The 27,580-nt window shown below is 46.5% G+C and overlaps 1 protein-coding gene across 15 annotated transcripts in view, besides 8 other annotated features; it reads right to left on the bottom strand.

Annotated features, from left to right (window-relative positions):
• The window catches only part of RNF220 (ring finger protein 220), a 246,942-nt gene that overhangs the window by 118,865 nt on the left and 100,497 nt on the right, over positions 1-27,580 (bottom strand). The window lies entirely within an intron of this gene.
• Positions 7,383-8,708: an enhancer, noted in NCBI's record as "VISTA enhancer hs280". NCBI's record gives its function as "enhancer in: limb[4/4]" and the evidence as "EXISTENCE:transgenic organism evidence [ECO:0001131][PMID:17130149]".
• Positions 7,383-9,214: a biological region, named in NCBI's record as "VISTA enhancer hs280".
• Positions 8,358-9,214: an enhancer, noted in NCBI's record as "H3K27ac-H3K4me1 hESC enhancer chr1:44989318-44990174 (GRCh37/hg19 assembly coordinates)". NCBI's record gives its function as "activates a minimal SCP1, AML or CMV promoter by ChIP-STARR-seq in naive and primed H9 embryonic stem cells {active_cell/tissue: H9 hESC(naive and primed)}" and the evidence as "EXISTENCE:reporter gene assay evidence [ECO:0000049][PMID:30033119]".
• Positions 9,215-10,072: an enhancer, noted in NCBI's record as "H3K27ac-H3K4me1 hESC enhancer chr1:44988460-44989317 (GRCh37/hg19 assembly coordinates)". NCBI's record gives its function as "activates a minimal SCP1, AML or CMV promoter by ChIP-STARR-seq in naive and primed H9 embryonic stem cells {active_cell/tissue: H9 hESC(naive and primed)}" and the evidence as "EXISTENCE:reporter gene assay evidence [ECO:0000049][PMID:30033119]".
• Positions 11,146-11,311: a silencer, noted in NCBI's record as "fragment chr1:44987221-44987386 (GRCh37/hg19 assembly coordinates)". NCBI's record gives its function as "represses an EF-1alpha promoter that drives an FKBP-Casp9 reporter gene in an ReSE screen in HepG2 liver carcinoma cells {active_cell/tissue: HepG2}" and the evidence as "EXISTENCE:reporter gene assay evidence [ECO:0000049][PMID:32094911]".
• Positions 24,428-25,063: an enhancer, noted in NCBI's record as "H3K4me1 hESC enhancer chr1:44973469-44974104 (GRCh37/hg19 assembly coordinates)". NCBI's record gives its function as "activates a minimal SCP1, AML or CMV promoter by ChIP-STARR-seq in naive and primed H9 embryonic stem cells {active_cell/tissue: H9 hESC(naive and primed)}" and the evidence as "EXISTENCE:reporter gene assay evidence [ECO:0000049][PMID:30033119]".
• Positions 25,064-25,700: an enhancer, noted in NCBI's record as "H3K4me1 hESC enhancer chr1:44972832-44973468 (GRCh37/hg19 assembly coordinates)". NCBI's record gives its function as "activates a minimal SCP1, AML or CMV promoter by ChIP-STARR-seq in naive H9 embryonic stem cells {active_cell/tissue: H9 hESC(naive)}" and the evidence as "EXISTENCE:reporter gene assay evidence [ECO:0000049][PMID:30033119]".
• Positions 25,861-26,361: an enhancer, noted in NCBI's record as "H3K4me1 hESC enhancer chr1:44972171-44972671 (GRCh37/hg19 assembly coordinates)". NCBI's record gives its function as "activates a minimal SCP1, AML or CMV promoter by ChIP-STARR-seq in naive H9 embryonic stem cells {active_cell/tissue: H9 hESC(naive)}" and the evidence as "EXISTENCE:reporter gene assay evidence [ECO:0000049][PMID:30033119]".

Genomic DNA, 27,580 nt, shown 5'->3' with positions numbered 1-27,580 from the left:
AGAAAGCCTCAGTATACCCTTCTGCTTTGAGCTGTTCCCATTTGCAGGAGACACAGGTGGATAGCAAATAGATGACTGGTGTTTTTCATAAGATTGCTGTGGGGCTTAACGGAGATAATGAAGGCAATGCTCCTATCACTGCATCAGTCATACAACAAGCACTCAAGTCCTACTGTTCTGCTCCTCCTTCCCCTTTGAAAGGCACACTGTTATAATTCAAACAAAACAGAACAAAGCAAGGCTTTGAAGTCATAAAACAATTCGGCCTCTTATAAGCTATTCAACTTTGCAAAAGTTGCTTCCCTTTCTTAACTTCAGCTTTCCCACCTGCAAAATGAGCTCATAATGCTCACCCACAGTTTTAATAAGGAATAAACCACGTGATAAAAGATGCCAAAATACACATATGTCTGAAGTGTCCACCTCTGGTATATAGTGGGGACTCAATAAATAGTAGAAGTAAGGATAACAATAAATGTAAGAGTCTGAATTTCTATCTAAAAAAACAGCATAAGGACAGGATGAAAGAGACATGACTCAGCAATGAGACAAGGTAGGGGTTTTAGTTGATAAGGTCAGTATGAGTCAGCAGCTAATGTGACTTCCAGCCGCATTCATAAAGTGGTGACAGGCTCACCCTGCTGTGTCCTGGTTTGGCCACCTTGGACAGGGCAGGTCTGGGCACCATTCTTTGTGAGCTCAAAATAATAATAAATGTATGTGAAGGCCCGTTGTAAACCATAAAGAGCGTACATATGTAAAACATCATTATGAATCATCAGCAGTAGAGTATTAATTGAGAGAGAGGTCATCTGCACTGACTTTAGAGGGATAAAGCAGTACAGTAGAAGGGGGAGTGAGACTCAGCACCTTAGAAAAAAGGGGGGCAGAAAGAGGAGGCTTAGAGAGGGGTGACACAGGCAGAGGAAGCTGATTCTTGTATGTCCCCTATGAGCCAAACCAAGAACAGTTGGTGAAAGTTAAAGCTAGTTTAGGCTCATTTTAAGAAAGTATTTTCTAACAATCAGAGTACTGCTTTGAAGAATAATGAGCTCCCCCTCATAAGAGGTATTCAAGCAGTGATTGGATGATAATTGGTCCTAATGGAGGGAATTCAAACATGGAAGAAGAGACCAGATCATCTTGAAGGGCTCTTCTGACCCCAAAGTGTCATGGCTTTGGGGGCTGTCTTTCTCCTGTTCTCTCTCATCACAGGGGAAGGGAAAAGTCAGAAATCTTCAATTTAATAACTGATCTGATATTCCTCAAACACCCACTACCTGCCAGGCATTGTGCTAGCTGCTGAGAAAATAAGCAAAAATAAGGAAAAGACTTTGGCCTCTGTGCTCTTACAGTCTAATGGGGTTAACTGGCAAAGAGCTTTGGACACACATCAGAGAGAGCAACTAAATGCTTGGAACGGAGTGAGTCCACCAGGGAGATGATACTGGAGCTGAGTTTTGAATAAATAATCTTCCTAGATGGAAAAGGGAAATAACAGGACAACAGGTAGAAAGGACAAGACCTGCAAAGCCATGGAATCATGGAAAAGCAGACAAAGTTTAGGGGAAGATGAGCTGCATGAGAAATGGGACAGAAGAAATAGTTTGGGCTGGATTGTGAAGCACTTAGTGAAACTTCTGGAGGACCCCGGATTTACCTTGAGGATTACAGGAAGCAAGGGAGGAATCTACAAAGAGCAGCCCAGTCACACCTGTGTTTTAAAAGGGTTTGGATCATAATTCTGAAAGACACAATCCTGAATGCCATAATTCTAAATGTTGACATCCCAAAAGATCAAAATCCCTAAACGTAAATCTCTAATGTCCAAAATCTCCAAGATCACAATCACAGGTTAGTTTTCTTTCATTATTTTATTTTATTTTATTATTTATTTAAGACGGAGTCTCACCCTGTCACCCAGGCTGGAGTGCAATGGCGCAATCTCGGCTCACTGCAACCTCTGCCTCCTGGGTTCAAATGATTCTCCTGCCTCAGCTTCCCAAATAGCTGGGATTACAGGAGTGCACCACCATGCCTGGCTAATTTTGTATTTTTAGTAGAGACAGGGTTTTACCACGTTGGTCAGGCTGGTCTTGAACTCCTGACCTCATGATCTGCCCACCTAGACTCCCAAAGTGCTGGGATTACAGGAGTGAGCCACTGTGCGTGACCAGTTCTTTCACTATTTTAAATTGTCAGCATTATTTGCTATAATTTGCTGTGCTACGTATTTCATCTTTGCATCATTTCCAATACTGGAGGTATAAATTGTGTAGAGACTTTTAAGAGAGTTGTAATTCTTTTTATGCTTTTTTTTTTTTTTTTGCAGATTTGACTCCATGAAAGTGCATTATCACAATGTTGATTTTGTGTATCAGCATTGCGCATCTACGTAAAAATGTTGAAACTTCCTCAGTAAATGACGAGATGTCCTTTTTGTACATCTGCATTTGTGAAAGACAAAATTTCTTGAGATCTCTGCTCTTTGGGTGACTGCATATGTGGTGGTGACCCACAGTGGTAACCCATTGTAGTTTTTGCTCCATCTTGTCAAAAGACTTAGGTTGTTCATCATGGTATTTCAGATAACCACAATTATAAAGCTGATGGCACACAATTACCAACTATAGTGAAATGTGTTTATACATTTCCCTCTTTGACCTATTTCTTTATGAATATGGTTCGTCTGATCATAAATGCTATACTCATGCAACTTTTGTTAGTATACCTAAACGTTTATACTCACAAAAAAAGTATGTTGTTGCTTATTTTTTATTATTTAATTTTAATTTTTTTTTTTTTGAGATAAGAGTCTCACTCTGTCACCCAGGCTGGAGTGCAGTGGCACGATCTTGGCTTACTGCAACCTCCACCTCCCTGGTTCAAGCGATTCTCCTGCCTCAGCCTCCCAAATAGCTGGGAGTAGAGGCGCCCACCACCATGCCCTGCTAATTTTTTTTGTATTTTTAGTAGAGATGGGGTTTTGCCATATTGCCAAGGCTGATCTCGAACTCCTGAGCTCAGGCAATCCGCCCACCTTGGCCTCCCAAAATGCTGGGATTATAGCACTATTACCAGCCTATTGTTGCTTATTTTATTGTGTAAAGTGGCCTATGAAGTGTTCTGTCGTGCTTTTATGTTTTTCAAATAAATCTCCTTTTTAAAATATAAATAAATATCTGGCCAGGCATGGTGGCTCACGCCTGTAATCCCAGCACTTTGGGAGGCCCAGGCAGGTGGATTACTTGAGGCCAGGAGTTCGAGACCAGCCTGGACAACATAGTGAGACTCCATCTCTACTAGAAAATACAAAAAGTAACTGGGTGTGGTGGCACTTGCCTGTAGTTCCAGCTACTCGAGTGGCTGAGGCAGGAGAATCACTGGAACCTGGGAGGTGGAGGCTGCAGTGAGCCAGGATCGTGCCACTGCAGCACTCCATCCTGGGTGACATAGCGAGACTCTGTCTAAAAATATGTGTGTGTGTGTGTTTGTGTGTGTGTGTGTGTGTAATTCCTTTTTTTTTTCCCATGCATAGTTTTACTTAACATTATTTTAGGATCTCTGCTGAAATATTCTTCAAATATATGTTTTTAAATGGCTGAACAATATTTTATCATATGATTATACTATAACTTATTTAACCATTTTATTGTTGTGGAACATTAGGTTGTTCTCAGATTTTCTCTGCTATAAATAATACTGAAATGATGATCCTTATGCATAAATCTTTGACCACATATCTAATTATTTTCTTAGAATAAATTCCAAGAAGGGAATTACTAAAATAAAGGATATGAATATTTTAAGGATTTTGCTACACATTACAAAATTGCTTCTAGAAAGGTTATACAAATGTATGCTTTTACCAATAGTATATAAGAATGTCTGCCTAACTCTACCCTTATTAGCATTGAACTTTATAATTTTAAAAGTTGCCAATTCTGGCCAAACGTGGTGGCTCATGCCTGTAATCCCAGCACTTTGGGAGGCTGAGGTGGGTGGATCGCCTGAGGTCAGGAGTTAAAGACCAGCCTGACAAGCATGGTGAAACCCCATCTCTACTAAAAATACAAAATTAGCCAGGTGTGGTGGCACATGCCTGTAATCCCAGCTACTTGGGAGGCTGAGGCAGGAGAATCACTTAAACCTGGGAGGTGGAGGTTGCAGTAAGCCAAAATTGTGCCATTGCACTCCAGCTTGGGCAATAGAGTGAGATTCTGTCTCAAAAAAAAAAAAAAAAAAGTTGCCAATTTGCAGGGCCGGGCGCAGTGGCTTACGCCTGTAATCCCAGCACTTTGGGAGGCCGAGGTGTGTGGATCACAAGGTCAAGAGATTGAGACCATCCTGGCTAACACGGTGAAACCCCATCTCTACTAAAAATACAAAAAATTAGCCAGGTGTGGCAGCGTGTGCCTGTAGTCCCAGCTGCTGGGGAGGCTGAGGCAGGAGAATGGCATGAACCTGGGAGACGGAGCTTGCAGTGAGCCGAGATAGCGCCACTGGACTCCAGCCTGGGTGACAGAGTGAGACTCCGTCTCAAAAAAAAAAAAAAGTTGCCAATTTGTATCGGCAAAATATCACCTCATTTAATTTACATGAACTATATTAATATGAAGGTTCATATTTCTTTTATTAACTGGTTGTTCATTACTTAGTCCATTTTATATTGAGCTATTAGTGCTTTTTATTGATTTGTAAGCACTCTTTACATATTACGGACATCAAATGTTCTGCTATACTTACTGCAAATCTTTGTTTTTCAGGTGGCATTTGCCTTTTATTTTTGTTTATGGTGGGGCTTTTGTTGTTGTATAGTAATTTAGAATTTTTGGTGACTTCATTGCATTCACACTATGAAAGTTCTTTCCAGATACATAGCTATGATTTTTACCCTTTGCATTTAACTTTTTTTTTTTTTTTTTTTTTTTTTTGGGATGGAGTCTTGCTCTGTCACCCAGGCTGGAGTGCAGTGGTGCAATCTCGGCTCGCTGCAATCTTCATCTCCCAAGTCAAAGAGATTCTCCTGCCTCAGCCTCTCAAGTAGCTGGGACTACAGGTGCCTGCCACCATGCCTGGCTAATTTTTGTATTTTTAGTAAAGTCGGGGTTTCACCACGTTGGCCAGGCTGGTCTCGAACTCCTGCCCTCAGATGATCTGCCCATCTCAGCCTCCCAAAGTGCTGGGATTACAGGTGTGAGCCACCGCACCCAGCCCTGCATTTAAATTTTTAATTCATCTATTTAATGCATTACTTAAAAAAAAAATAAGACAGGGTCTCGTTATGTTTTCTGGGCTGGTCTTGAACTCCTGGACTTAAGCGATTCTCTCATCTCCGCATCTCGAGTGGCTGAGATTACAGGTGTACATCATAGTGCCTGGCTTAATTCATTAATTCTGATATAAGGTACAAGGCAAGGAACTCACTTCTCTCCTACTTCCCAAGTTTTACTTATTTACTCCCTCCCTCCCTTCCTTCCTTCCTTCCTTTCCTCCTTCCTTTGGTGAAAGAGGACAGATAACGGGGAAAGAAAAAGGGAAGACTCTAGGTCAAACTAGGTTTCTGCTTGTGTGGTTAGATGGTGCTGATGGATCATTTAAGTTGCAGGCTTGGAAGAATATAATGATGTCAGTATTGAATATGTTGAGTCTGGAGGTGCTCTGCAAGGATTCAAGGAGAGATAGTGAGTTGGCAGCTGGAATATGGGCATGAAGCTCAGGAGAGAGGTTGAGGCTGAAGTTGCAGCCATGGTATTCATCAGTGTTTAGGTGGCAGGTGAAACTACAGGCATGATGAGCTCACCCCGGGAAGATGCGTAAGTAAGGAGAGAAGTGAAGCAGTGTACTCTGGGAAGCAGCGATACTGAAGGGGCACATCAAGCAGAAGCTGGGGAAGGAGAATGAGCAGGAGTAGAAGTAGATAAGATCCAAAGAGATGAGTCAGAGAAGCTAAGGGAAGAGCGGCTTTGAAGAAAGAAGAGGTGATCAGAATGTCAGTGAAGAAGTGGGATAGAGCTCATTGAGTGAATGGGCTGACTGAATGGGAGGTGGGGAAGTGGAGGCAATGTGAGTGAGATGTCTTTTGAACAAGTTTATCAGTAAAGGGAAAGAGGAAGAGGGGAGAGTAATGTGCTTGGAAGTTAAGATTAAAAGAAGATTTAAAGGGGAGATTTGAGGGTGTGTGAAGGCAGAGAGAAAGGCATTGGTAGGAAGAGGGATATTTAAAATGTGAGAGAAGAGATGGTGGTGCCAGATTGAAGGAGGAGGAGTGATGGGCCCAGGTGGAAGGATGAGTACTGAGTTAGGACACAAGTACTGGATAGTACTGAGTTAGGACAAAAGTGCTGAGTAGTACTGAGTCAGGACACAAGTACTGAGTAGTACTGAGTTAGGGGACAATTCAGTGAAGATGGCCTCCAGGGTGAGGCCAAGGTTAGGGAGGGAGAAAAGTTGTGGCTGTTTGGCCTTTATTCTCTCTGAAAAGCAGGAAATGAAGTCATCTACAGAGAATGAGGTAAACAGAGGCAGTGAAGAGAAATATTTTGAGAGAGGGAAGGGTTTACAACAACTGCTGTGGGAAATGGGAAGTCATTCTGGGACAAGTACGCAGACTGTTGAGACTTAGTCAGGGTCTGCTAGTGGTGACACCAGTTGAAATGGTTATGCGCTTTTCTCCCCGGAGCATCACAGGCCGGAAATAGAGGAGAAAGTAAATGCTTTCATGGATTTGGGATTTGAGGTAGGCAAACAGGTGGGACAGAAAGGCAAAAGGGTGAGGAAATGGCACGAAGAAATTCTTTAAAGATGTTGATCAAAGGGTCAAGGTCGGGCAGGAAAGAAAGTGAAGCTAGGAGGGGAATGGTGGGCTTGTTAAATTAGGAATGGTCCAGGGACTGAAGGTCTAACGGAGGTCAAAAACAGATTCAGTGGGAGTGAGGAAGGAGAACGGACATAAGGACAGCAGACGCAGCTTACAAAATGGGATTCAGAGTTCATTATTTTTGAGACGAAGAAATTGTGGGAGATGGTCAGACTGAGGGCGGGGCTGTGTTTCCATGGAATCTGCTGTAGGAGTGCAGGATGCTGCAGCAGAGGATCCCAGGATGTGGACAGTCCATGTGGGTGCTGAAATTCACAGGAGGAACGCAGAATAGGGGTGAGCAGGGAGATACTGAGTGCCAACGTTCCTGCTGAATAGAGGGGAGATGTCATCAGCAGATGACAGTGACAAGTAAGTAGAGAGGATCGAATGGCCTCAAAAGAGCAGGGATGTTTGTATGAGGGTGAAGGAACACATGTGGACAGTGGTATCAGCAAAAGTCACTTGCTACAGTAGTAGGGGGGTAAACAGGCACCTGGCACAGTTAGGCAGACCAAAGCGGGGCAGCAGTTTCAAGGTTCTGTTATTTTTTGTGTGTGTTTGTTGGTTGGTTCATTCAACCATTCATTCAAAAAGGATTTGATGAGATGCGTCTGCTGAGCCCTGAGCGCTGTGCTAGGCGTGCAGGACGCTGCCTCTTCCACAGGAATGCACACCAGCCAGCAGCCTTTCCCCGTTTTGCCAAAGGTGGCCCCCCTCTCGCTCAGCAAGCCCCCCACACCAAAGTCCTGGCACCAAAGCCAGGCAGGCCCTGACACGGCTGGTGACCAGTAGGGGATCTTCTTGTTACAGCTTTTTCCCCAGAGATAAATAGGCCACAGTAAAAAAGATTGCTACATCCTTTCAATAAAGATTTTTTTTCTTTTCCAGACAGCTTGAGAAATGTTTTAAAAGCTTCTCACATTTCCAGTGAAACCCACAGAGAAGAATTTTGCTTGTTATCAGCCCTGGAAGCCTCTGATAGACGGGTGACATTTTTTTTCTTTTTCTTTCTCTTTTTCTCTTTTCCTTTTTTTCACCAGCTGAAGAGAGAGTCACAGTGTGTTTTATAACTGGCTCTCTGCATTTCAAAAGCTCAACGAGAGCTCTCTGCTAACCCCGATAAGCCTTGGGCTCTTAGCGTCTTAAATACCTCTGACAAGCTATACATTACAGCGCTAATAATTTGCCAAATTTGCGCCCATAATATGATATCTGTAAAACGTCAAGGGCAGTAATGCGATTAGCGGTCTCAAATGAAATATCGAACATTCAGCGTTTAGGTCCTGAATAGGGGGAGAAAGGAAAGGAAATCAATTTCAAAAGCAGGAGGGAAAAAGGCGATAAGCGTGTAATAAAAATAGAGAGAGACAGAGGAGAGATGCGGAGGAAGAGACGGGCAGAGCAAGACGCAGGGAGAGATAGACCAGCCTGCATTCGTGTTTGAGGCAGGTAAGAGATGTAAAAAACTTTTACAAAGCAGTTCCAACACGAAGCTGGGAAATAACATTTGGTCACCACAGCAACCGGGTTTGGGTGGAAGGAGGGAGGTGGGGGCTGGGAGTTGAGGAAGGGGTTGGCCAAGCCTAGGGACCGGCCTTTCACTCTCTGCCCCCAACAGCCTGCTTCCATAAAACACAGGAAGTTGAATTACAAGGAGTCTGAGGGTGGGCTCTCACCCTGCCCCCACCTACCCGAGGTGGGAGAGTCGTAATGGACTAATTATCTGGCCAGCAGAGGCGGTGGCGGCGGCAGTTCGCAGGAGAGAGGGCCCGGGCTGTCACATACCAGGCTCTAGACTAAATAACAACATCTCACACCTGCAGCTTTACGAGCCCTTGCTGAGAGGAGCCAGTGCAAGCCCTCCCCTCCCTTTGCCCCCCTCCAGCATCCCCCCATTCACATTTGGGCCCCCACTCTAGCCAGGCTGCTGCTGGGGCACCAGAGTGGCAGGGGGAGTCTCCCCCTTGCTGAAGCTAGGACCCATCGCTCAATCCTTACAACTTGCAGGTATCTCGACTCACAATGCCGCTGCTCTTGGGTCCCCCAGCTAATTCCCCAGGGACCTGAGCAAGGCAAGCGGACTATGCCATTAAAATACCCCATGCCAGAGGTCACTGGCGAGCAGGTTTGTCTGCACCTGCAGCTATGTCTCAGGCTCGGGATGGACGAGGGGATGGGGCTGCGCTGGATGCTGGATTGTGAGGGCAGAAATGACCAATGGATCCTCTTGGGCCCTGGGGGATAGCAGAGGCGGGAGCCCTCTGAGCTGCCTCAGCACATTTCTCTGCTTTCTCCTTCCATACCTCTCCCTAACACCATGCGAAGCAGGTTCTTTCAAAGCATGGTGTTCCTGCTCCTTCTGCACCACTTGGTCTTGGACCTGACCCCATAACCATTAGCCTCATTTTGTAAAGAGATGAGGTTTTGGCAGAGCTGTGTCAAGAGAAGAACGCAAACAATGACAGATGCAGGAGCCTGTGCCTTAGCAAGGGGATGGCATTCAGGAAGCGCGGGACCAAGTCCTATCCCCACTCTAAATGTCCAAGGCCTCTAGTCCCACTGTCTCCCCACAGCTGGAGGCTCCCAACTAGGGTTCAGGCCAGCTCACCTAGGCAAAGAGGAGGTGAAAGGTGCTGGCTGGCCTGGGGTGGGAGGAGAGCAAACAGGCTGCCTGGGGCCTGCCCAGACCCTTCCCCGGGGCAGCCTGGAATGGCCATTACAGGGCCACTTCTTGCGGCACCACGAGCCATTAAAGCAGGAGTGCTCGGGGAGCCATCAGCCCAGTGCAGATGACTTCCCCAGATGTGGCAGTGGGCAGGATGTGGAAGCCCCCAGCCCCAACTCTACAGACAAAACATTCCCACACTCACCATCCTCGGAAACCCCACAGCCCAGAGCCCCTCTTACAGATGCTTTCTAGACCATTTAGCAGGAGGCAGTGTTTATTTTTGAACATATGTTCTTCCCCATCTCTCGCCTTCCTTCTCCCTTACTAGTCCTTCCAGACCCAAAGCTGCTCTCTGGATGGGCTGCTGTTGGTTGTGACTGCCAAGCTCCAAGGCCAGTGTGGGTAGCACGCTTTGTTTTGGCTTTGTGAGTGCTTAAGCATATGCATGCATGCACACACAGTCCTACTTGCTCTAACTACCATTAGTGGAATGTATGTACCACACCAGCTCCAGGAGGGCAGGGCCTCAGAGGTTATCTAAGTTTGTGAGCAAATTATAAACTAAGATCGAGTTTCCCTACTTTCCAAAATGGGTATACTAGTCAAAGATGGTCCCCGGGCATTGCATTCCTTTTGGGAAGGTGACATCAAGCACAGAAGGTCCCCCCGCCCCCCCAGGAGGGATGTTTCTACCTGAAGCTCAGATTGGTCTCTACTTGGTTCTCTCTGTCCATGCATAGAGCCCAGCCCAGTGCTGTGCTCAACTATTGTCCACCCACCTCAATTAAGGTCTCTCTTTTCTTCAATAAAATAGAATCCTCCAGTCCTTAAGTGACCAGTTCGACTTTTACCCCCTTCAAGAAGTCTTCTGTAACTCAAATGCTCTGAGTTCTGCTTCTTCTAATAGGTATGGGGCCTCACATTTATTGGGTGCCTACTGTGTGCCAGGCTCCATGTTAGGCATTTTGCATGTCATTCCATTTAGCTTTCAGGACTCTGGATATTATTAGTCCTACTTTATGGATAGGAAAAGAGGCTCTTAGAAGTTCAGCGATTTGTCCAATTCAGTGAACACGCGACAGAGCTGGAATTCAAACCATGTCCATCTGATTCAAATCCCACCATCCTTCCATCATGTGATGGAGCTTCCCACATGGAAATGTTTTGCAAACATTTGTCATGGTCTTTTCTAAAGTGTGGCACCCAGGAAAGAAAACAACACTGTAGGTTTAGTCTGGCCAAGACAGAGTAGAGACAAGATTTTTCTTAATAAATCCTAAAGTTGCGGCCATCTTGCTTTGTTGTTTCATGCATAGCTGGCAGTTGACCAAACACTCAGATTTTCTGAGACACTCAGTCTCCCCTTCACTGTGTTCCCAGACACATTGGTCTTTGGTGCTTGTTCTCTCTGATTGGAATACCCACTTCATTCATTCATTCATTCATTCATTCACTCATTCATTCAGTAGACATCAATTGAGAGCCTATTACATGCTAGGTACTGTACTAGGCAGTAGAAATACACTGATGAGCACAGGGACAGGTCTCTTCACCGTGCATACAGTCTAGTGGGGGCCTTGGGCATTGATCAAGTCATGGCAGAAATAAACATGAATCTGCAGTAGAGGTAAGTTCTGTACGAGCGATCCATGTGGCCACAGAAGATGTGACCTCTTCAGAGAAGTCAAGGAAGACTTGCCTAAGGAAGTAATGATAACAATGCTGAAAACGCTATCTCACCCCTGCCCCCACCCACACCCACAGAGGCCCAACCCTTGACTCTGCCTAGAAAACTCCAGCAGTCTTTCAGGTCAGCTTATACATCACTTCCTCATAGAGTGCTCCTCTATGGTCCTGACCAGGTGAGGTCTCCATTGGACTCTATATTGTTCTCTACAGCATTTCACTTATATTTGGTTACTTGTTTAAAATTTGTCATCCCATGTGTAAACTCCATGACGGCAAAGAATGTGTCTCCCTGGTTTCCTGCTTTATGTCCCCTGTCAAGCACAGTACCTAGCATTTGCTTGATAGTCCGGAGATGTTTGCTGAATAGATATCTTGCTCTCCTATCCTGTACTGGGGCAGCTAAAGTTTTAGATCCAGGTGCAGGAATTCACATTTATTAAATTTCACCTTAGGTGGTGGCTCATGCCTGTCATCCCAGCACTTTGGGAGGCCAAGTTGGGAGGATCACTTGAGCCCAGGAGTTCCAGATCAGCCTGGGAAACATGGTGAGATCCTGACTCTACAAAAAAATAAAAAAACTAGTTGGGCATGGTGGTGCACACCTGTAGTCCTAGTTACTTGGGAGGCTGAGGTGAGAGGATCCTTTGAGCCCAGGAGTTTGAGGTTACAGCTAGCTATGATTGCGCCACTGCACTCCAGCCTGGGCAAGAGAGTGAGACCTCATCTCAAAAACAAAAACAAAAACAAATCACATTATTAGATCATCCCAGTTTATTAGCATTCCTATAAATTCCAATCCAGTACTCACTGAGTGTTTGCCATGAACAATACCTGATGTCGGGGATACAAAGAAACTTGTACAGTCTTAGCCTTCAAGGAGTATATAATCTAGTTTAGGAAACAGATGAGAAAAACAGGAATTATAATGTAGTTGTTATGTCCAGAATGATATAGCAGCCTAGAGAATGAAACTGTTCAATCTGTCTGGGGGAAGAGCAGTAGGGAAGGCTTGAACTTGAAGTTTTACTTTAAGATGGGCAAGACGCAGGGAGGACTCTTTGAGCAGAGGAGGCAAAATGTGTCAGGGAAACCCAAGGCAGGAGAGGCAGATGGCAGGGAGTTAAGTTGCCCATGAACGTCAGAACTGAGAGTCATGTAGTTTCTTTTCTTTTTTTGAGACGGAGTCTCGCTCTGTCACCCAGGCTGGAGTGCAGTGGTGCGATCTCGGCTCACTGCAAGCTCCATGTCCCCTGTTCATGCCATTCTCCTGCCTCAGCCTCCCAAGTAGCTGGGACTACAGGCGCCCGCCACCATGCCCAGCTAATTTTTTTTTGTATTTTTTAGTAGAGACGGGGTTTCACTGTGTTAGCCAGGACGGTCTCGATCTCCTGACCTCGTGATCCGCCTTTCTTGGCCTCCCCAAGTGCTGGGATTACAGGCGTGAGCCACCGCGCCCAGCCCGAGACTCATGTAGTTTCTTACAATCTCTCTCTTTCTCTCTCTCTCTCTCTCACACACACACACACACACACACACACACACACACACACACACAATGCTGGACTTCAGCATCTTCTTACCATTCTATTTTTTTCCAGTTTGAAGAATGCCTTCTTGACAGAAAATATAGTCCCTTCTTGTCATGTCTCTGCTAATCCATTTTTCACACTAGCCCTGAGTTATCTTTCTAATATATGGATCTGATCATGTCATCACCACCACCCTCCCAATTAAAAACTTTCAGTGGTTACCAACTGCCCCTAGAAGTCACCCTCCATTATGGCAGACAAGGCTCTTAACAATTTGGTCCAAGGTTATAATTTCAACCCTACTTTCTCCTCATTTCCCCTCACACATCCTACTGTGAGTCACAGGGACTGACTGACACCTGCACTTGACTTTCCGTGCAATCTATTCTTCTCTCTACATGGAGAGATGGAGGGAGGGGGGTCAAGGAGGTTCACAACTTGGGCCGCTTACTACTGTCCGTGGAGCACCTTGAGCTCGACACTGGATTCCCACATTGCTGAACCATCTGGAGTTCTCTGAGTGCTTTTCTTTCTTTTGCTGCTGGGCTTTTGCACATGCTACTTCCTCTGCTTCGAACACCCTTTCTCTGGCTTTCAGTCTGGCTAGCACCTACTTCCTCCATTCCTCAGGATGCAACTGGGGTGTTACTTTCCCCAGGAAGTCTTGCAGCCTCCGCTTCTGAGGCCCCACACACAGCACCCTATGCTTGCTTTGATAATGGCATGAGCCACTCTGCATTTTAATAGGTGTTTCTTATCCATTTCCCTTTCTTGACTTTGTCTGATTTATTATCATATGTTCAGTGCCTAGCGTAGTGCTTGACATGTATTAAGCTTTAAATAGATATTTGTTGATTAATGACTAAATAAATAAATGACTGAATGAATAAACTTCTCATTGTTCTCAAAACACAACACGCTTATTGACAACTGTGCCTTTCTCTGCATGTCATTCTAAAACTAAACTCTTTTTTCATTTCTCCCCACCCCTCCCAACCCAGCCAACAAATCTGCTCTTCCTCTCCCTCATCTACCTCAGTGAATGGTGCCTCTGCCCATCTGTTCAAATTAGAAACCTGTGAGTTTCTCATGGTTCATTTGTTCGTTCATTCATTATTTATTGAGCATCTACCCTGTGCCAGGCACTTTACTAAACAATGAAGACATGGCCTCTAGCTGCAAAGAGTTCACCTTCTAATCAGGATTAAGTTTTTTTTTTTTTGTTTTTTTTGTTTTTTAGACGGAGTCTTGCTCTGTTGCCCAGGCTAGAGGAAAGTGGCACAATCTCGGCTCACTGCAAGCTCTGCCTCCCGGGTTCACGCCATTCTCCTGCCTCAGCCTCCCGAGTAGCTGGGACTACAGGCACCCGCCACCACGCCTGGCTAATTTTTGTATTTTTAGTAGACATGGGGTTTCACTGTGTTAGCCAGGATGGTCTTGATCTTCTGACCTCGTGATCTGCCTGCCTTGGCCTCCTAAAGTGCTGGGATTACAGGTGTGAGCCACCGCGCCCGGCCCAGGATTGTTTTTAAAGGCTTTCTGTCTCTTCTCTGAAACAAACTCCAGGAATACCATGCACTGCCTGATGGCCTGTGTTGGATTTTCCCCCACTGAATGCCTGAGGAAGAGGAAAGATCATGAGCTTTGGCATCAGGAAGAGGTGGGTTTATTTGCATATTTTTAGAGACAGGATCTCACTCTGTCACCCAGAGTGAGTAGGGTGCAGTGGGGTGATCATAGCTCACTGCAGCCTCCAACTCCCGAGCTCAAGCGATCCTCCTATCTCAGATTCCTGAGTAGCTGGGCCTAAACGTGCTCACCACTGCTCTGGCTTATTTTTTTATTTTTTATAGAGATGGGGTCTTGTTATGTTGCCCAGGCTATTCTCGAACTCCTGGCCTGAAGCAATCCTCCCACCTTGGCCTCCCAAAATGCTGGGATTACAGGTGTGAGCCACCACACCCAGCCTAGAGGTGGATTTATTTATATTTTATTTTATTTTATTTTTAGACGGAGTCTTGCTCTGTCCCAGGTTGGAGTGCAGTGGCACGATCTCCACTCAATGCAACCTCCGCCTCCCGGGTTCAAGTGATTCTCCTGCCTCAGCCTCCCAAGTAGCTGGAATTACAGGTGCGCACCACTATACCCAGCTAATTTTTGTAATTTCAGTAGAGAAAGGGTTTTGCCATGTTGGCCAGGCTGGTCTCGAACTCCTGACCTCAGGTGATCCACCTGCCTTGGCCTCCCAAAGTGCTGGGATTACAGGTGTGGACCACCGTACCTGGCCCTAGAGGCGGATTTAAATCCAAGCTCTTCTTTATCCTGAACACATTTAATTTAATATTCCTTTTTAACAAAAATATGTAATGTATTAAAATATAACATTTAAGTGCTTACTCTCTACTCAGTGCTGTGCACAGTGTTGATGACTCTGGATGACAGAGCAAGACCCTGGTCTCTAAAAATATAAAGAAACACAGTGCTGCCCTCACAGAGCTTACACTTAGTGAACAAGACAGACATGAAACAACTAAACAGGCAAATAAATGTCTAACTACATTTGTCAAACACACTTGAAGACAATAGATAAGAAATAGAAAAGTCGGTGATGACAACAGTCAAAGGCCAGGTTAAAAGAAAAAAGAAAGAAAGAAAAAAACAGGTGAAATCTTTTATAGACTGGGACGAGTTCTCTGAGGAAATGGCATTGAAGCTAAGATCTGAAGGATGAGGGGAAGCAGTCATGTAAGGAGGCTGGAGAGAGGGAACTGGGCAGGATGAAAGACCCCGAGGAGAGATGGGGGTCCGGGAAGACAGGGGGCAGGTCTTGCCGCGTTAAGGATTATGGGCTTGACTCTAGGGGTCATATCTCTTAAAAAGATTCCTTAGCTGCCAGGTGGAGAGGCTAGAATGGGAAGTGGCAAGGATGGAAGGGAGAAATCAAATAGAAGACAGTTCCAGCAGTGACAGAGGACAGATGCTGATGCCTGGATTTTGGGCGGTGCCAGGCAAGCTGGGGAGAAGGGAATGCATTTGAGATAGGATTTAGAGGTAGACTGAGGGGCTGAGGAACAGGGAAAGGCTGAAGAGTGATTCCCAGGTTTCTGGCTTGGACAAGTGGATGGGGAGGTGCCATGGGAAAAGGGGAGAGGGAACAGTTTTGGTGGGAAAAATGATGAGCAGCATTCTGGACTGGTGAGGGCAGAGTGTCTGTTAGAGATCCATGTGGTGGTGGTAAATAGGCAGTGTGGAGCTTCAAAGAGAGGTCTGAGGTAGGGTTAGCATGAGAATGGGGACAGGAGAGGACAAAAAGGTGAAGTTAGGTGAAGAAATCATTCATCTCTCTGAAACACATTGACTTAATGTATGGAATGGAAATAATATGAAATGAGATCATGTAAAACCACATGGCATATAATAGACACTCCATAAATATTGGTTTCCTTTCCCTTCTCTTCCTCTTTCCCTTCACTTTCCTCCCATCTTCCTTTCTCTTGGTGGTTCTTCGATCCCTTTCTTTTTCTCACTATCCTTATACACTGCACACAGCTATCACAAAAATGAGGACAGCAAATTTCTTAGAAGCTGCTAAACATATTAAGGAACAAGGGGTCAGGAATAGTTGACTTAAAATTCATGCATCCAACTATCATGCCATGTCCTTTGCTGGGAACACCTTTCCTTTGCTCTTTGGCTGCGTAGCAAACTTCTTAAAGATTCATTTTAAGCTTTGCTAATTCTGTGAAGTCTTCCTTAAGGTCTCTAGTTGATTTAGGTGTTTGCTTCTTCTAGGAGGTGCTGCATCTTACATCTATCTTAGCACTTACCATAGTGTTTTGACATTACCTCTTTGGCTGGCCTGTCTCCTTGGTAGACTATGAATTCCTTTAAAGGAGAACTGTTTTTAAACCTTTGTATTTCCAGCACTTAACTTAGACGAGGCAGTTTATTTAAAAATATGTTGCATCATCTCCAAGGCTCTGAGATTCCATAATTTTAAGCAAAAAGTTTAGATGAGTGAAAAAGCAAACAACACCCATATCTCCTTTGCTATCCTTTTAGAAGGAGATGGTGTAGCAGCTAAGATCACATTCAAGGGAGGCAGATCTGAAGGTTTTAGCGTCTCATCTTCAGATCCGCACTGACGGGCAAGCCAAGTGATACCCAGAGGCACCTGAAGCCAAGTCATTTATTTCAGGTCCGGGTGAAAGGACTGTATTTTAGGAAAGTGTATGTAATTTACAATTTTAATATTCCTACACAGAGGTAGCAGATAAGGACAAGGTTGCCATCTCTGTGCTAAATGTCAAAGGAGGAAACTTCTGTAAGCTGCTGCTGTTTCCTAGACTCTTGGAGCATCTACAGAGCTCGGAGAACTCTGAGATTGCCAAGAGAGCCTTCTCATACTGTGTGATTTTCATGGATGGAATGTTAGCCATTTTCCCCTATACTGGCACCCTCAGTTCATCACACAAAGGGAAAATAAAAGGGAAGTGACTCAAATTAAATAGTAGGTCTGAAGAGCTTTGACTCAGCATGATACCTGGAATAGAGCAGGCATCCTATAAATGTTGGGACAAATAAATGGTTCTGAAACCCCAAATGCCTCAGTTTTTCTTTAAGAACCTGTATTCTCACCACAAGCAATGACTTCTTCATTCCTAGAGCATGCCAATCCTGTGGATCATTTACAACTTTATCTGCTATTACTGTACCTAACACAATAATCACCACACAAACTACACCTACATTATTCAAGAACCATCTACTCAATTGTGTTGACCTCAGTTAATCTCAGCAACTGCCACAGCTCTAAGAGCCCCATTTCCATTTGATTCTATACCCTGCTACCCTTCTCCCGTCCCCAGTGACATCCACCCCGTGTTCTGGATTCCCCTAGTGGTCTTGAAACCTCCTGGTTTGTCTGGGCTGAGATTTTCTTCAAACATTGAGGCAAAATGGGAAGGGAATAGACTGTTGGCTTGGTCCCTGCTGCTGATAGCTATACATTTCCATTCAACACCAGCCTCCTGGACTTGCCTTTCAGAACTTATTTCCAGCCTTCATAGCCACTCCCTGGAACAGTCTTGCTAGGTCTTCCCTTTCTGTGTTTGTTCCCCCATGACTGACCCATTTTCAAGGACTGGTCCTTGTTCAGCCCAGCTCCTACCCCTTTGCTTCTTGACTTTAAACTCTACCTGCCCTGCTGGACGTGCCAATCTTTGCATCTGGAGCATGAGAGGTTACTGTAGAGGTTATGCACACAACTAGTAAAGCATGAACTTCAGAACCTCTAAAGCCACTCCCCAATCTGTGGTTCTGTGACTCGGGTACTTCCCTTGAGCTCATGTGAATAAAACATTCAATTTTGTTTCATTTATGGGTCTTGTTATCATGTTAGCCAAAAGATATATCTTTTTTAAAAAAATCTAAAAAGTAGCCCAATAGCTGGCTAGTTCTTAGCTTAGTCCATAGAGAACACCTAAATCCCAAGTAAAACAGGGAGCAGCAGGACATTCTGCAGGCCGGAAGAGGAGATCGTTTCAACACTAGCATGGTCATCAGCATTAAAGAGTCAGTTGGGGTTTGACTGTAGAGCTTCTAGTGAAGCTCACAATGGAGGAAGCCTAAACCATTCTGAACCAGGGACGAATGCCTAATATTCTAGCTTCACTGCAACCCCTGAAGTCTTCCTCTCAGGCTACATTTCCAACAGGCAATGAAGAATCAATTATCTGAATATTCTAGTATTGTCTAGTTAGACGAAAGTCTGATTGATCAGCATTTTCTACTCAGGAAGGCACGGGCTTCCAACATCGCAGCTGTCCCTCCATAATTCCATTATTTTAGGCCGCTCATTTAACAAATCCTGCAAGCCTGCTACGTGGGAGGCACTGTGCTAGGTGCTGAGATTATGGCACTTAACAAGAGAAACAGGGTCCTGCACTCAAAGAGCTCACAGTTTGGAGTGGGAGTTAGACACTAAACAAATATAGCTACTTGATCTATTACTTGGTTATATTTAGGACTAAGCGATACAAGGATAAATACAAGATGCTACACGACTATATATTGAATCCAAACAAGGTCTGCTGTGGTGATACTATGAAGGGTGGCCTGATCTATTACTCGAATGGTTCTTTTCTCCCTTCTTCTCTTAGGCTCTTTCTGCTTCCTGAAGGGAAACTTCCAAAGCTAACAAACGCCTCTATTCCAGGAAGAGCGGAAGTAGAAGACATTGGCGATGTGGCATAAGATGCCCATATACCTGGGGAGACAGCTGCACGGGCATGTGTGCACACACGCACACAGACACACGCGCACACATGCAGAGGATGACCCATGAAACATGCCCTGGGGGGAAGAAGAGGAAGAAAAAAAATGAAATCCAAACAGTCTTTTTCACCCCGAAAACATATAATTTTGTGTAAATTTTTACTTTAAACATCTCTCTTTTCCTGAGCTGTGATATGGGCCCTGTCAAAGCCAGGGCCAATTACTGCCATTAGGTTCCCATCATGTCACCGCTTCTCCCCCCGTCTGGAAGGCCCTCGCCTCACAGGCCTATAATCTGCACTCACTTTCGCTCCATCACTTTCAGAAGGAACAAAATTGTTTTGTGTGTTTTTTTTTAAAAGGGCCTTTATTTGGCCCCTGTCAACTCTGAAAAGAAGAGAGTGAAAGAGAGAGAGGAGGAGAGAGAAAAGAGGAGAAAGAAAGATTGTTTAAGTGTTTAACCATGAGATTGCCAACAGCAAGCATGCGGGAGGCAGCCTGGCTGGCCCCCATGGGCCAGGCTCGGGACCCCAGGGACGCCACACCCTGGGCCTTGCCACTTGCTTCCCCTTTTGGGTAAGTTATTTCCATTCCCAGAAGAGCTCCTCGCACAGGTTCTGATCTCATAGCCTTGGAATAATCTATCTGAAGATATCATCAAAGAACAGGCAGGTTCTGAATTGCCAAACCAGCTACTGCGAATGTCTATCACAGGCCAGAAAGTGGGGGAACCTTTCTGGACTCCAAATCCCTTAAGGGATTGGCTGCAGTGGGGGCAGAGAGTCAGAGAAGACCCTTGGGAATGCTGAGGATGCTGCTAGCAAAAGGCAAAATGAAAGCTGGTCTGTTGGGACAGTGCCTGGACCATTGGGTGGGTTGGCTTGGTCCCTCCCTTGGCTCAGCCGGGATGTTCCTAATCCTTGCTCTCTCTTCCTCAGGTCAACTGGCTGCTCCAGGAGCCACCGAGCTCACTGTTGGGAAACTCGCTGCCGAAGGGTGAGGCCCCTGTGCCACCTGAGACAGCCGCTCTTCTTCCACCGTAGTTACACCTTCCTGAAATCTGCAGACGGTTATCACACCCCTCCGCTTGGCCAGGCTGCCCAGCATGCCTCTCCACTCCTGCCGCCTCCGTCGTCACTTAGCCAAGCTAAACAGATTTAGCTCCTTTAATCTTTCCTCATTAGCTGGCAATCTGGAAAGGAAACAAATGCTCACCCCATACAGGTTCAAGCTGTTGCTTTAACCTTGTAAAAGTGTGTAGGGCGCTGGGGCTGTGGAGTCAGTTAGGATCATTACCATGAGGAGCCACTCCCTCTCAGCTAACCCCCTTAGGGGCCGTCCCCATTCTTTTTGAAACCACCCCAGTGTGTCACCTCCCTTCTAGGTCCCAGAGCTCCACATCCAAATTGTGTGCATGCAACCCCCAAAGCAAGGCAGCTTCCAGGGCCTTCCTATGGCTTTTTTGGATGAGCAGAGATTTCCTCCCAAATATGTTCATTTGTTTCAACCCACCGCCTCCCCCCATAATTAGGTGTTCATGTGGTTGTTGACTTCTTCAGGTTCCTGAATTGTTCCTCAGCCACACCTACCTATCAGCTTTTTCAGTTACATGCAGCTTTCTCCCCATCCAAAATGAGACCTTATGTTAAATTGGTTCAGAATACTCTGTTCATCCAGAGAGTGTCCCTCTCTCTGAATGATTCCCTGCCATCGATTTTTCTTTTCTGTGCAGTTTTCATTTACATACCTACAACCACAGCGAAAACCTGAACCTGTTTTAACAACAGCCACTTGTGGCACACCCATTACAACACATCTGTTTTTCTGTTTTCAATTTGATCACTTAGCGCTATTCTGTTTGGTGTGGTTTGGCCCTTAGGCATACTTACACACACACACACACACACACACACACACACGCACACACACGCTTCTCAATTTTACTTTCCTCCCGGAGATGACAGATTTTTTCCCCCTTTCATTGTATCTAGTTCCAAACTGACTGGATGAACATTTTTAGGCTTGTTTACCATTTTTTAGAAGACAGGAGTCACATCCGTTTCACTTCTCCAGCCTCCTGATGGCCCCTTTTACTTTCTATGATTTTCCAGACATAATTATAAGTGGTTCAATCAGCGCCCCGCTTAGTATGTTCCCAGAACACTAGCCTTAATATCTCATGATGGATGTCATCCTGGCTTGCTGATTTGTGAAACCTTTACATTTTCTGAGTATTCTCCTACCTGCTTTCTATCAGGAACGATTTTTGCACAGTCTGCATTTACTTCCTAATTATCCAAATTCCTTTTTGTCATTTTTCTTCTTAAAGACTGATCTAAAAAATGAGCTGAGCATCTCTGCCCTGTAGGAGGTAAGATGAATCTCCCACTTCTCTTCATTTATTAGCAGTCTACATGCTCACTGGTCTGTCCCCCACCTTTCCTTTCCCCTCACCCTCAATATATTGCTAAACATATTTATTCCCTTTAACCCTTCGCTAGTGAAAGTTTCTCTCTAGGGTTCAACTTCTTGCCCGCAGGCCCGGGGATCTCTCTTCTGGTGGCTCCTGTAGCCAATCCCTTTATCTTGTAGAAAACTATGGTGACCTCACCCAAAGCTATTCCAGCAGGCAAAGCCTTTTCTTTTCCCTTATTCTTTATCAGAATTGGCTGTAGTCTTTAGTGTTCTCCCTCTAGCCTTCTCTTCCTCAGGGCTCCAAAAATGGACTGGCACCTTTGAAAAATAAGGAGAAAGCTGAAGTGGGCTGCATGCTTCCTTGCCTCACCAAAAGGTCCTCAAACATCACTCCCCGTCATCCCCCCACTGCGAGAGTGTTCTCTGCACCATTCAGGCCAACTGGCCTCCATTTTGGGGGCCTAAAGAAATTTCCTAGACCTCGGAGCAACAACCCTTTCTCACCTTTACCTCTGGGAAATCTTGGTTTTCATTTTGCTCATTTTCTCTGTGAGTTACTACCTTTCCCTTTTCTCCTTTCATTCATTCATTGACCGTATTAAGCCCCTTAGTGCCTCCCAGAAGCACTGGGAATAGAGTAGTGAACAAAATAGCAGGACACCTGTGCTCACAGTGCGTAACGACTGGTAGGGGAGACATGGTAACTACTGCCCCACCTCATCGTGCCACTAGAAACCATGATACGTTACATCCCGGAAGGACAGAATGCTATGAGAAAGTGTAACCGGAAGACAAAATGTACATTGGGACAGAAAGGCTTCTTTGAGCAGTAAAATTCACTGAGACAGGAAGGAGGGGTAAGAGTCAGGGAGGGTGATGTTAATGTCCTGAAAAGCAAAGCCTGCGTATTAGACAAACTGAAGGAAAAGCAGTTTGGCTGAACTTAGCCCAGGAAGAGGAGAGTGCCCCAAGCTGAGGCTAGAGAGCAGTGTCCTTAACTGAGCATGAAATACAAGACAAGGAACAGGTTTGGGGAGGAAGGTGCTGCTCCACTGTGCCCTGGGGTAGCTGAGGGAGCAGCTCATGTCATATCCTTCCTTCCTTCCCCTCCCTCTCTCCCTCCCTTCCTTCCTTCTTTTCTCCCTCCCTCCCTCCTCTCTCTCTCTCTCTTTCCTTTTTTTTTTTTCAGGGTCTCACTCTGTCACCCAGGCTGGAGTGCAGTGGCGTGATCTCTATTCACTGCTGCCTTGACCTCCTGGGCTCAAGCAATCCTCTCACCTCAGCCTCCTGAGTAGCTGGGACTACAGGTGCACACCACTATGCCTGGCTAATTGTTTTATTTTTTAATAGAGACAGAGTCTCGCCATGTACCTCAGGCTGGTCTCAAACTCCTGGGCTCAAGCGATCCTCCCGCCTTGGCCTCCCAAAGTGTTGGGGTAACAGGCATTGAACCTGTAATCATTCTATGCTGATTTTCTTTTCTTTCTTTTCCTTTTCTTTCTTTCCTTCCTTCCTTTTTTTTTTTTTTTTTTTTTGGACAGGGTCTCGCTCTGTCACCCAGGCTGGAGTACAGTGGCACAATCTTGGCTCACTGCAGCCTCTGCCTCCTGGGTTCAAGCAATTCTCGTGCCTTAGCCTCCAAAGTAGCTGGGATGACAGGTGTGTGCCACCACACCCGGCTAATTTTGTATTTTCAGTAGAGATGGCGTTTTGCCATGTTGGCCAGGCTGGTCTTGAACTCCTGGCCTCAAGTGATCCGCCTGCTTTGGGCTCCCAAAGTGCTTGGATTACAGGTGTGAGCCACTGCACCCAGCCTATGCGTATTTTCTTTTTCTTTTCTTTTATTTATTTATTTCTTTTTTTTTTTTTTTGAGACAGAGTCTCACACTGTTGCCCAGGCTGGAGGGCAGTGGCATGATCTCAGCTCACTGCAAGCTCCGCCTCCTGGGTTCACGCCATTCTCCTGCCTCAGCCTTCCAAGTAGCTGGGACTACAGGCGCCCACCACCACGCCTGGCTAATTTTTTGTATTTTTAGTAGAGGTGGGGTTTCACTGTGTTAGCCAGGATGGTTTTGATCTCCTGACCTCGTGATCTGCCCTCCTGGGCCTCCCAAAGTGCTGGGATTACAGGCGTGAGCCACCACACCCGGCTGCCTATGCCTATTTTCTAATACCATCCTCCTTGTTGCTCGGATAAACACCAGGACTGGTGAAAACCCAAATGAAACCATTGGCTTTATTACCTCTTTTGCCTCAGCTCACTTGAGTAGACTTCCTGATTTTTCACACCCGTAAATGGGACTGTCTGTATTTAGCTAAAGGAAAACGCAAAAGATATAATTTCATTAAGAAACCCTACTCTGGGGTGAAGGTAGGGGCAGGAGGAGTGAGGACCGTGGAATCTCTGGGTGGGATGGACAACTGAAAAAGACCCCTAAGTGATGCTGCTGTGCCCTCCAGGGGATGCCCCATTTTTCAAAATTAATCTCTCTTGAGTCCCAGTTTCTTCATCATAAAAAAGGGCTTACTCCTTTCCATCTGTCCCCACAGATTAAAAGAAGACTCTCATGAGTTCTTTGCAAACTACAGAGTGTTCTTCAGGTACAAACAGTCATTATGGTGACAGAAGTTTTCCACCACGAGGGTCTAAAGAAGAGGTGAAAGCCCTCTTCTGGTCACTATGTGGAGTGAGAAAGAGATCAGAGAGGGGTGAGGAAGACCTGCTCCCAGTTCTCAGGGAAAATGGAGAAGGTCAGGGCATGCAGCAACAAGATGTGAGAAGGATACACACTGGACTCTGACTCTGACTTCTGGTTGTGTTACGTTCTGTGGTGCCAATGAGACAGGAACAGAAAGGCCTTTAGAGCAAACGCCACCTACAGCAGAGTCCCTTCTACGGATGTTCTTCCATCTTTTGGGGCACCCAGCCCAAGAGCGGAAACTAAGATGCAGGCGTTCCTGAGCAGCAGAAGGGAAGATGGGTAGAGAAAAGGGGCAGCCTTTGAGGGAGAGGTGAAAAAGATTTCCATTGCTCGGCAGTAAGCCTTCATCCACCTGCTGACCCCACACGACTCGCCCATCTCTCCTTACAACGAACACCCTGGAGATGCACTAGCAAACCCTCTCTCTACACAGATGGGACCTCAGGGGCCAAGGACACCAAGAGCTTCTGGAATATTCACCAGGAGGGGGTCCCCCGCCTGGCCCGAGGAAACAGTTCCACTGCTCCCCACCCCCGCCCAACCCTGCCTCGGGAAAGAAAGGTCATTCCCTCCTCCTCTGCTCCACACAGCTTTTCAAAGGTTAAATTCAACCAGCCTGCTCCACCACCCCCACACGCCCACCCCCAAACAAGAGAGGAAAAGTTAATTGAAAATGCTGTTTAATTTTTCAGCTCCAGTGGATCCTACCCCAGCACAGATGGCTCCCCCAGGACTGTCTGTCCCGAGCCCATCTCCACCACTCCATCGCCTCCCGCCCCAAGCATGGGGGCAGAGGCACAGCCAGCAGTGGCTCAAAGGGAGAAAAAGAAGGGGGAGTGTGGTGAGGGGGGGGCACCTCCACACAAAAGAGCATTCTGAGCCCTTGGTTCCCTGGCCAGAGAACAATGCTACCGACTTGATCCTTTCATAAAGAGAGTTTCTGGTGTCAGGAGACAGCCGCCCAGCGCCCAAGCCGCCCACACCGGCCACTTCACTGCTCACCACCAACTGCTGTGCTGGCGGGGCTTCATTCCGTACCCCCCTCTGCGTCCAGCTGGAAGTAAGTGTGGTATCAACCCCCACGCCACTCCAAGCCTGCCCGCTACTTGTTGCCCCCTAAAGGCTCTGACAGGGCCCCCGAGAGGCCGGCCAGCTGAGATGAAAGGCTGGGACTCTAACTGGATTACCCCGACCAACCCCAGGACTGACGAGGCCAAGAAGCCCTAATTAAAGCCATCCCCTCTTCCCCCTTCACCCCACCCCCAATCACCGCAGCATTTCTCCTTTCATCCCAGGTTCTCCACTTTGTTCAAATTTCCGCTATTGATGAGTTACTAGGCTCTGGAGAGGTGGAGTAAGTGGAGAGACACACAAATCCTCTCAGCCTCCTGTAGCTTAAAGCCACTGGATATCAACTTGCTTGGACTTTGTTGTCCCCTCCATTGTAGCCAAGGAGAAGCCCTAGAGGAAGAGGAGGAATGGCAAGAGAAAGGGCCAAAGCAGAAGAAGGGGTTTTGGCTGGAGGGAGGGAAGAGATCCGGCCGCTAGAAGAAGGCATTCCTCTAAGGTGGGTTACAGCCTGTGGTCTGCCCTGATGCCTGCCCCATGGAGGACAGCAACACTGGTTTTCTGCTCCAAGATAGCTATGGGGCTGGAGGATCTCTGCCTCCTTCTTCTCCTTGTCATTGTACCACCCCAGCTGCCCCTCCAGTCCCACCTGCTTCTCATACTTACCCAGAAATAGTCATTGGCCTTTGGCCTGAGGGCATGATGGGTTATTTGAGACTCCGTGATCAACAATCTATGATTGGTTCTGGAGTCTGTAGTCACTCATTAGCTACTTTTGATCTCCCCAATAATCCCATAAGGCAGGGATTTTTGCCCTCATTTTACAGATGAAACCGAGGCAGAACGTTTCCAAGGAACTTCTGTGTCTATGAATTTACCACACCGGGCAAGTCAGTGGGGAAGCTCAGACAAGACCACAGGACTTCTGGCTCCTACTCCAGTGTTCGTGCTTTGGCCAAGCTCTCTGAACATCGAAGAAGCCCAGCCAGTCAGAGCGCCCGTTTTGGGAGATGCTGGACCTGCTTTCTGCTACAGGGAAGAGGTTTCACTTGGCTTGGGCCATCCGGCCTGCAGGGTATTGCTGGAGGCTGATAGATGACCCCCAGGGGCAAACAGATGAAGGCCAGGAGGATCCACTTCTGGCAAACCAAAAGGCTGCCCCGAGTGGAGAGGCCCTCACCCCACCCCTGCCCTCACTCCACTCCTGTGCAGACAAGGGAAATATGTGTATGGCACATGGCGGCCAGTGCCAGTGGCCTTCCTGCCTTGGTGTGATGGACCGAAGAGAAGAGGAAGAGTCCCACTGGCCACTGAAGACCATCGCTCTCTCCCACTATCAGGAAGGAGCTGGCAGACTCTGCCCCCTTCACCCCTCCACACCCGCCACCAGCAACCCTGCCACCCTCCCAAGTCCTTCTGCATACCCAGCCCTCTCTGACCACTGTGATGCTGGGCACTGGCCAGGATTCCACATCCTTTTAAGAAATGTAAGGGACAATAACTTCTGGGCTAGAGTGCCTGGGCATTGCTTGGGCACCGGGTCCATGAAAAGAAGGCATCTTTTATGTGTTTATCTTTTTGTTTTGTCTTGTTTGCTGCCCAGAGAAGAGGTAAGGAATAGGAGTGCTCTATTAACCTTATTTTCAACAAAAGGAAATAAGGGGGTATGATGGGCTACCTTCTAGAGGTGTCAAGGATGGGGGAGAATGATTCTCCCAACCAGAGTAGGGCGGAGACTGGGGCAGGGCATGGGGGGAGGGGAGCGGAGAGGATTGGAGGGAGGTCAAGGGAGAAACGAAGAAAGAGGAAAAAAGAAAAACCCAGCAGTGCGCCATGTCGCATTGTTCATGCTCAGCCCTTCAATTTGCTCTCTGCATTCTCCTGCCGTGGGGAGAATGTTACGCTGGCTTAAGGGACAAATCAGACACAAAATAAAGACCAACACTCAGCAGTGAAGCAATTATCGCAACATTTTATGCCAGGACTGTTCCTTTTGAAGGCAGCCTGGTGCTACCCGCATGTACCTTAACCCGTTCCTAATAACCATAAAGTTACCATTATTTACGGTACAAGACATTAAATAAATAATGCAAACTCAGGCAAGCGAGCAGTCCATGCAGAGCTAGGCAAGAGGGCTTCCCTGCTGCGGGCCAGCCGCAGGGGTTAACGCGTGATGGAACGGATGCTGACTGCAACCTGTCCAGAGGCCTGGTGGCTTCACTCTGCCTTCTCCCTCAGGAGCCCACGTAGAGCCAAGGAGGCGGAGAGGCCAGCTGGCCAGGAGAAATCAGGGAAGGCCTGACCAGAGTCTAACCAAGAGGGAATCCAGCCAGGACCTACAAAGCTCGTGGACTTGGCCAGAGTCCTGTTT

Source organism: Homo sapiens, chromosome 1 (genome assembly GCF_000001405.40).
Source record: "Homo sapiens chromosome 1, GRCh38.p14 Primary Assembly".
Taxonomy (NCBI): domain Eukaryota; kingdom Metazoa; phylum Chordata; class Mammalia; order Primates; family Hominidae; genus Homo; species Homo sapiens.
This window is presented reverse-complemented; position numbering and strand designations above follow the sequence as displayed.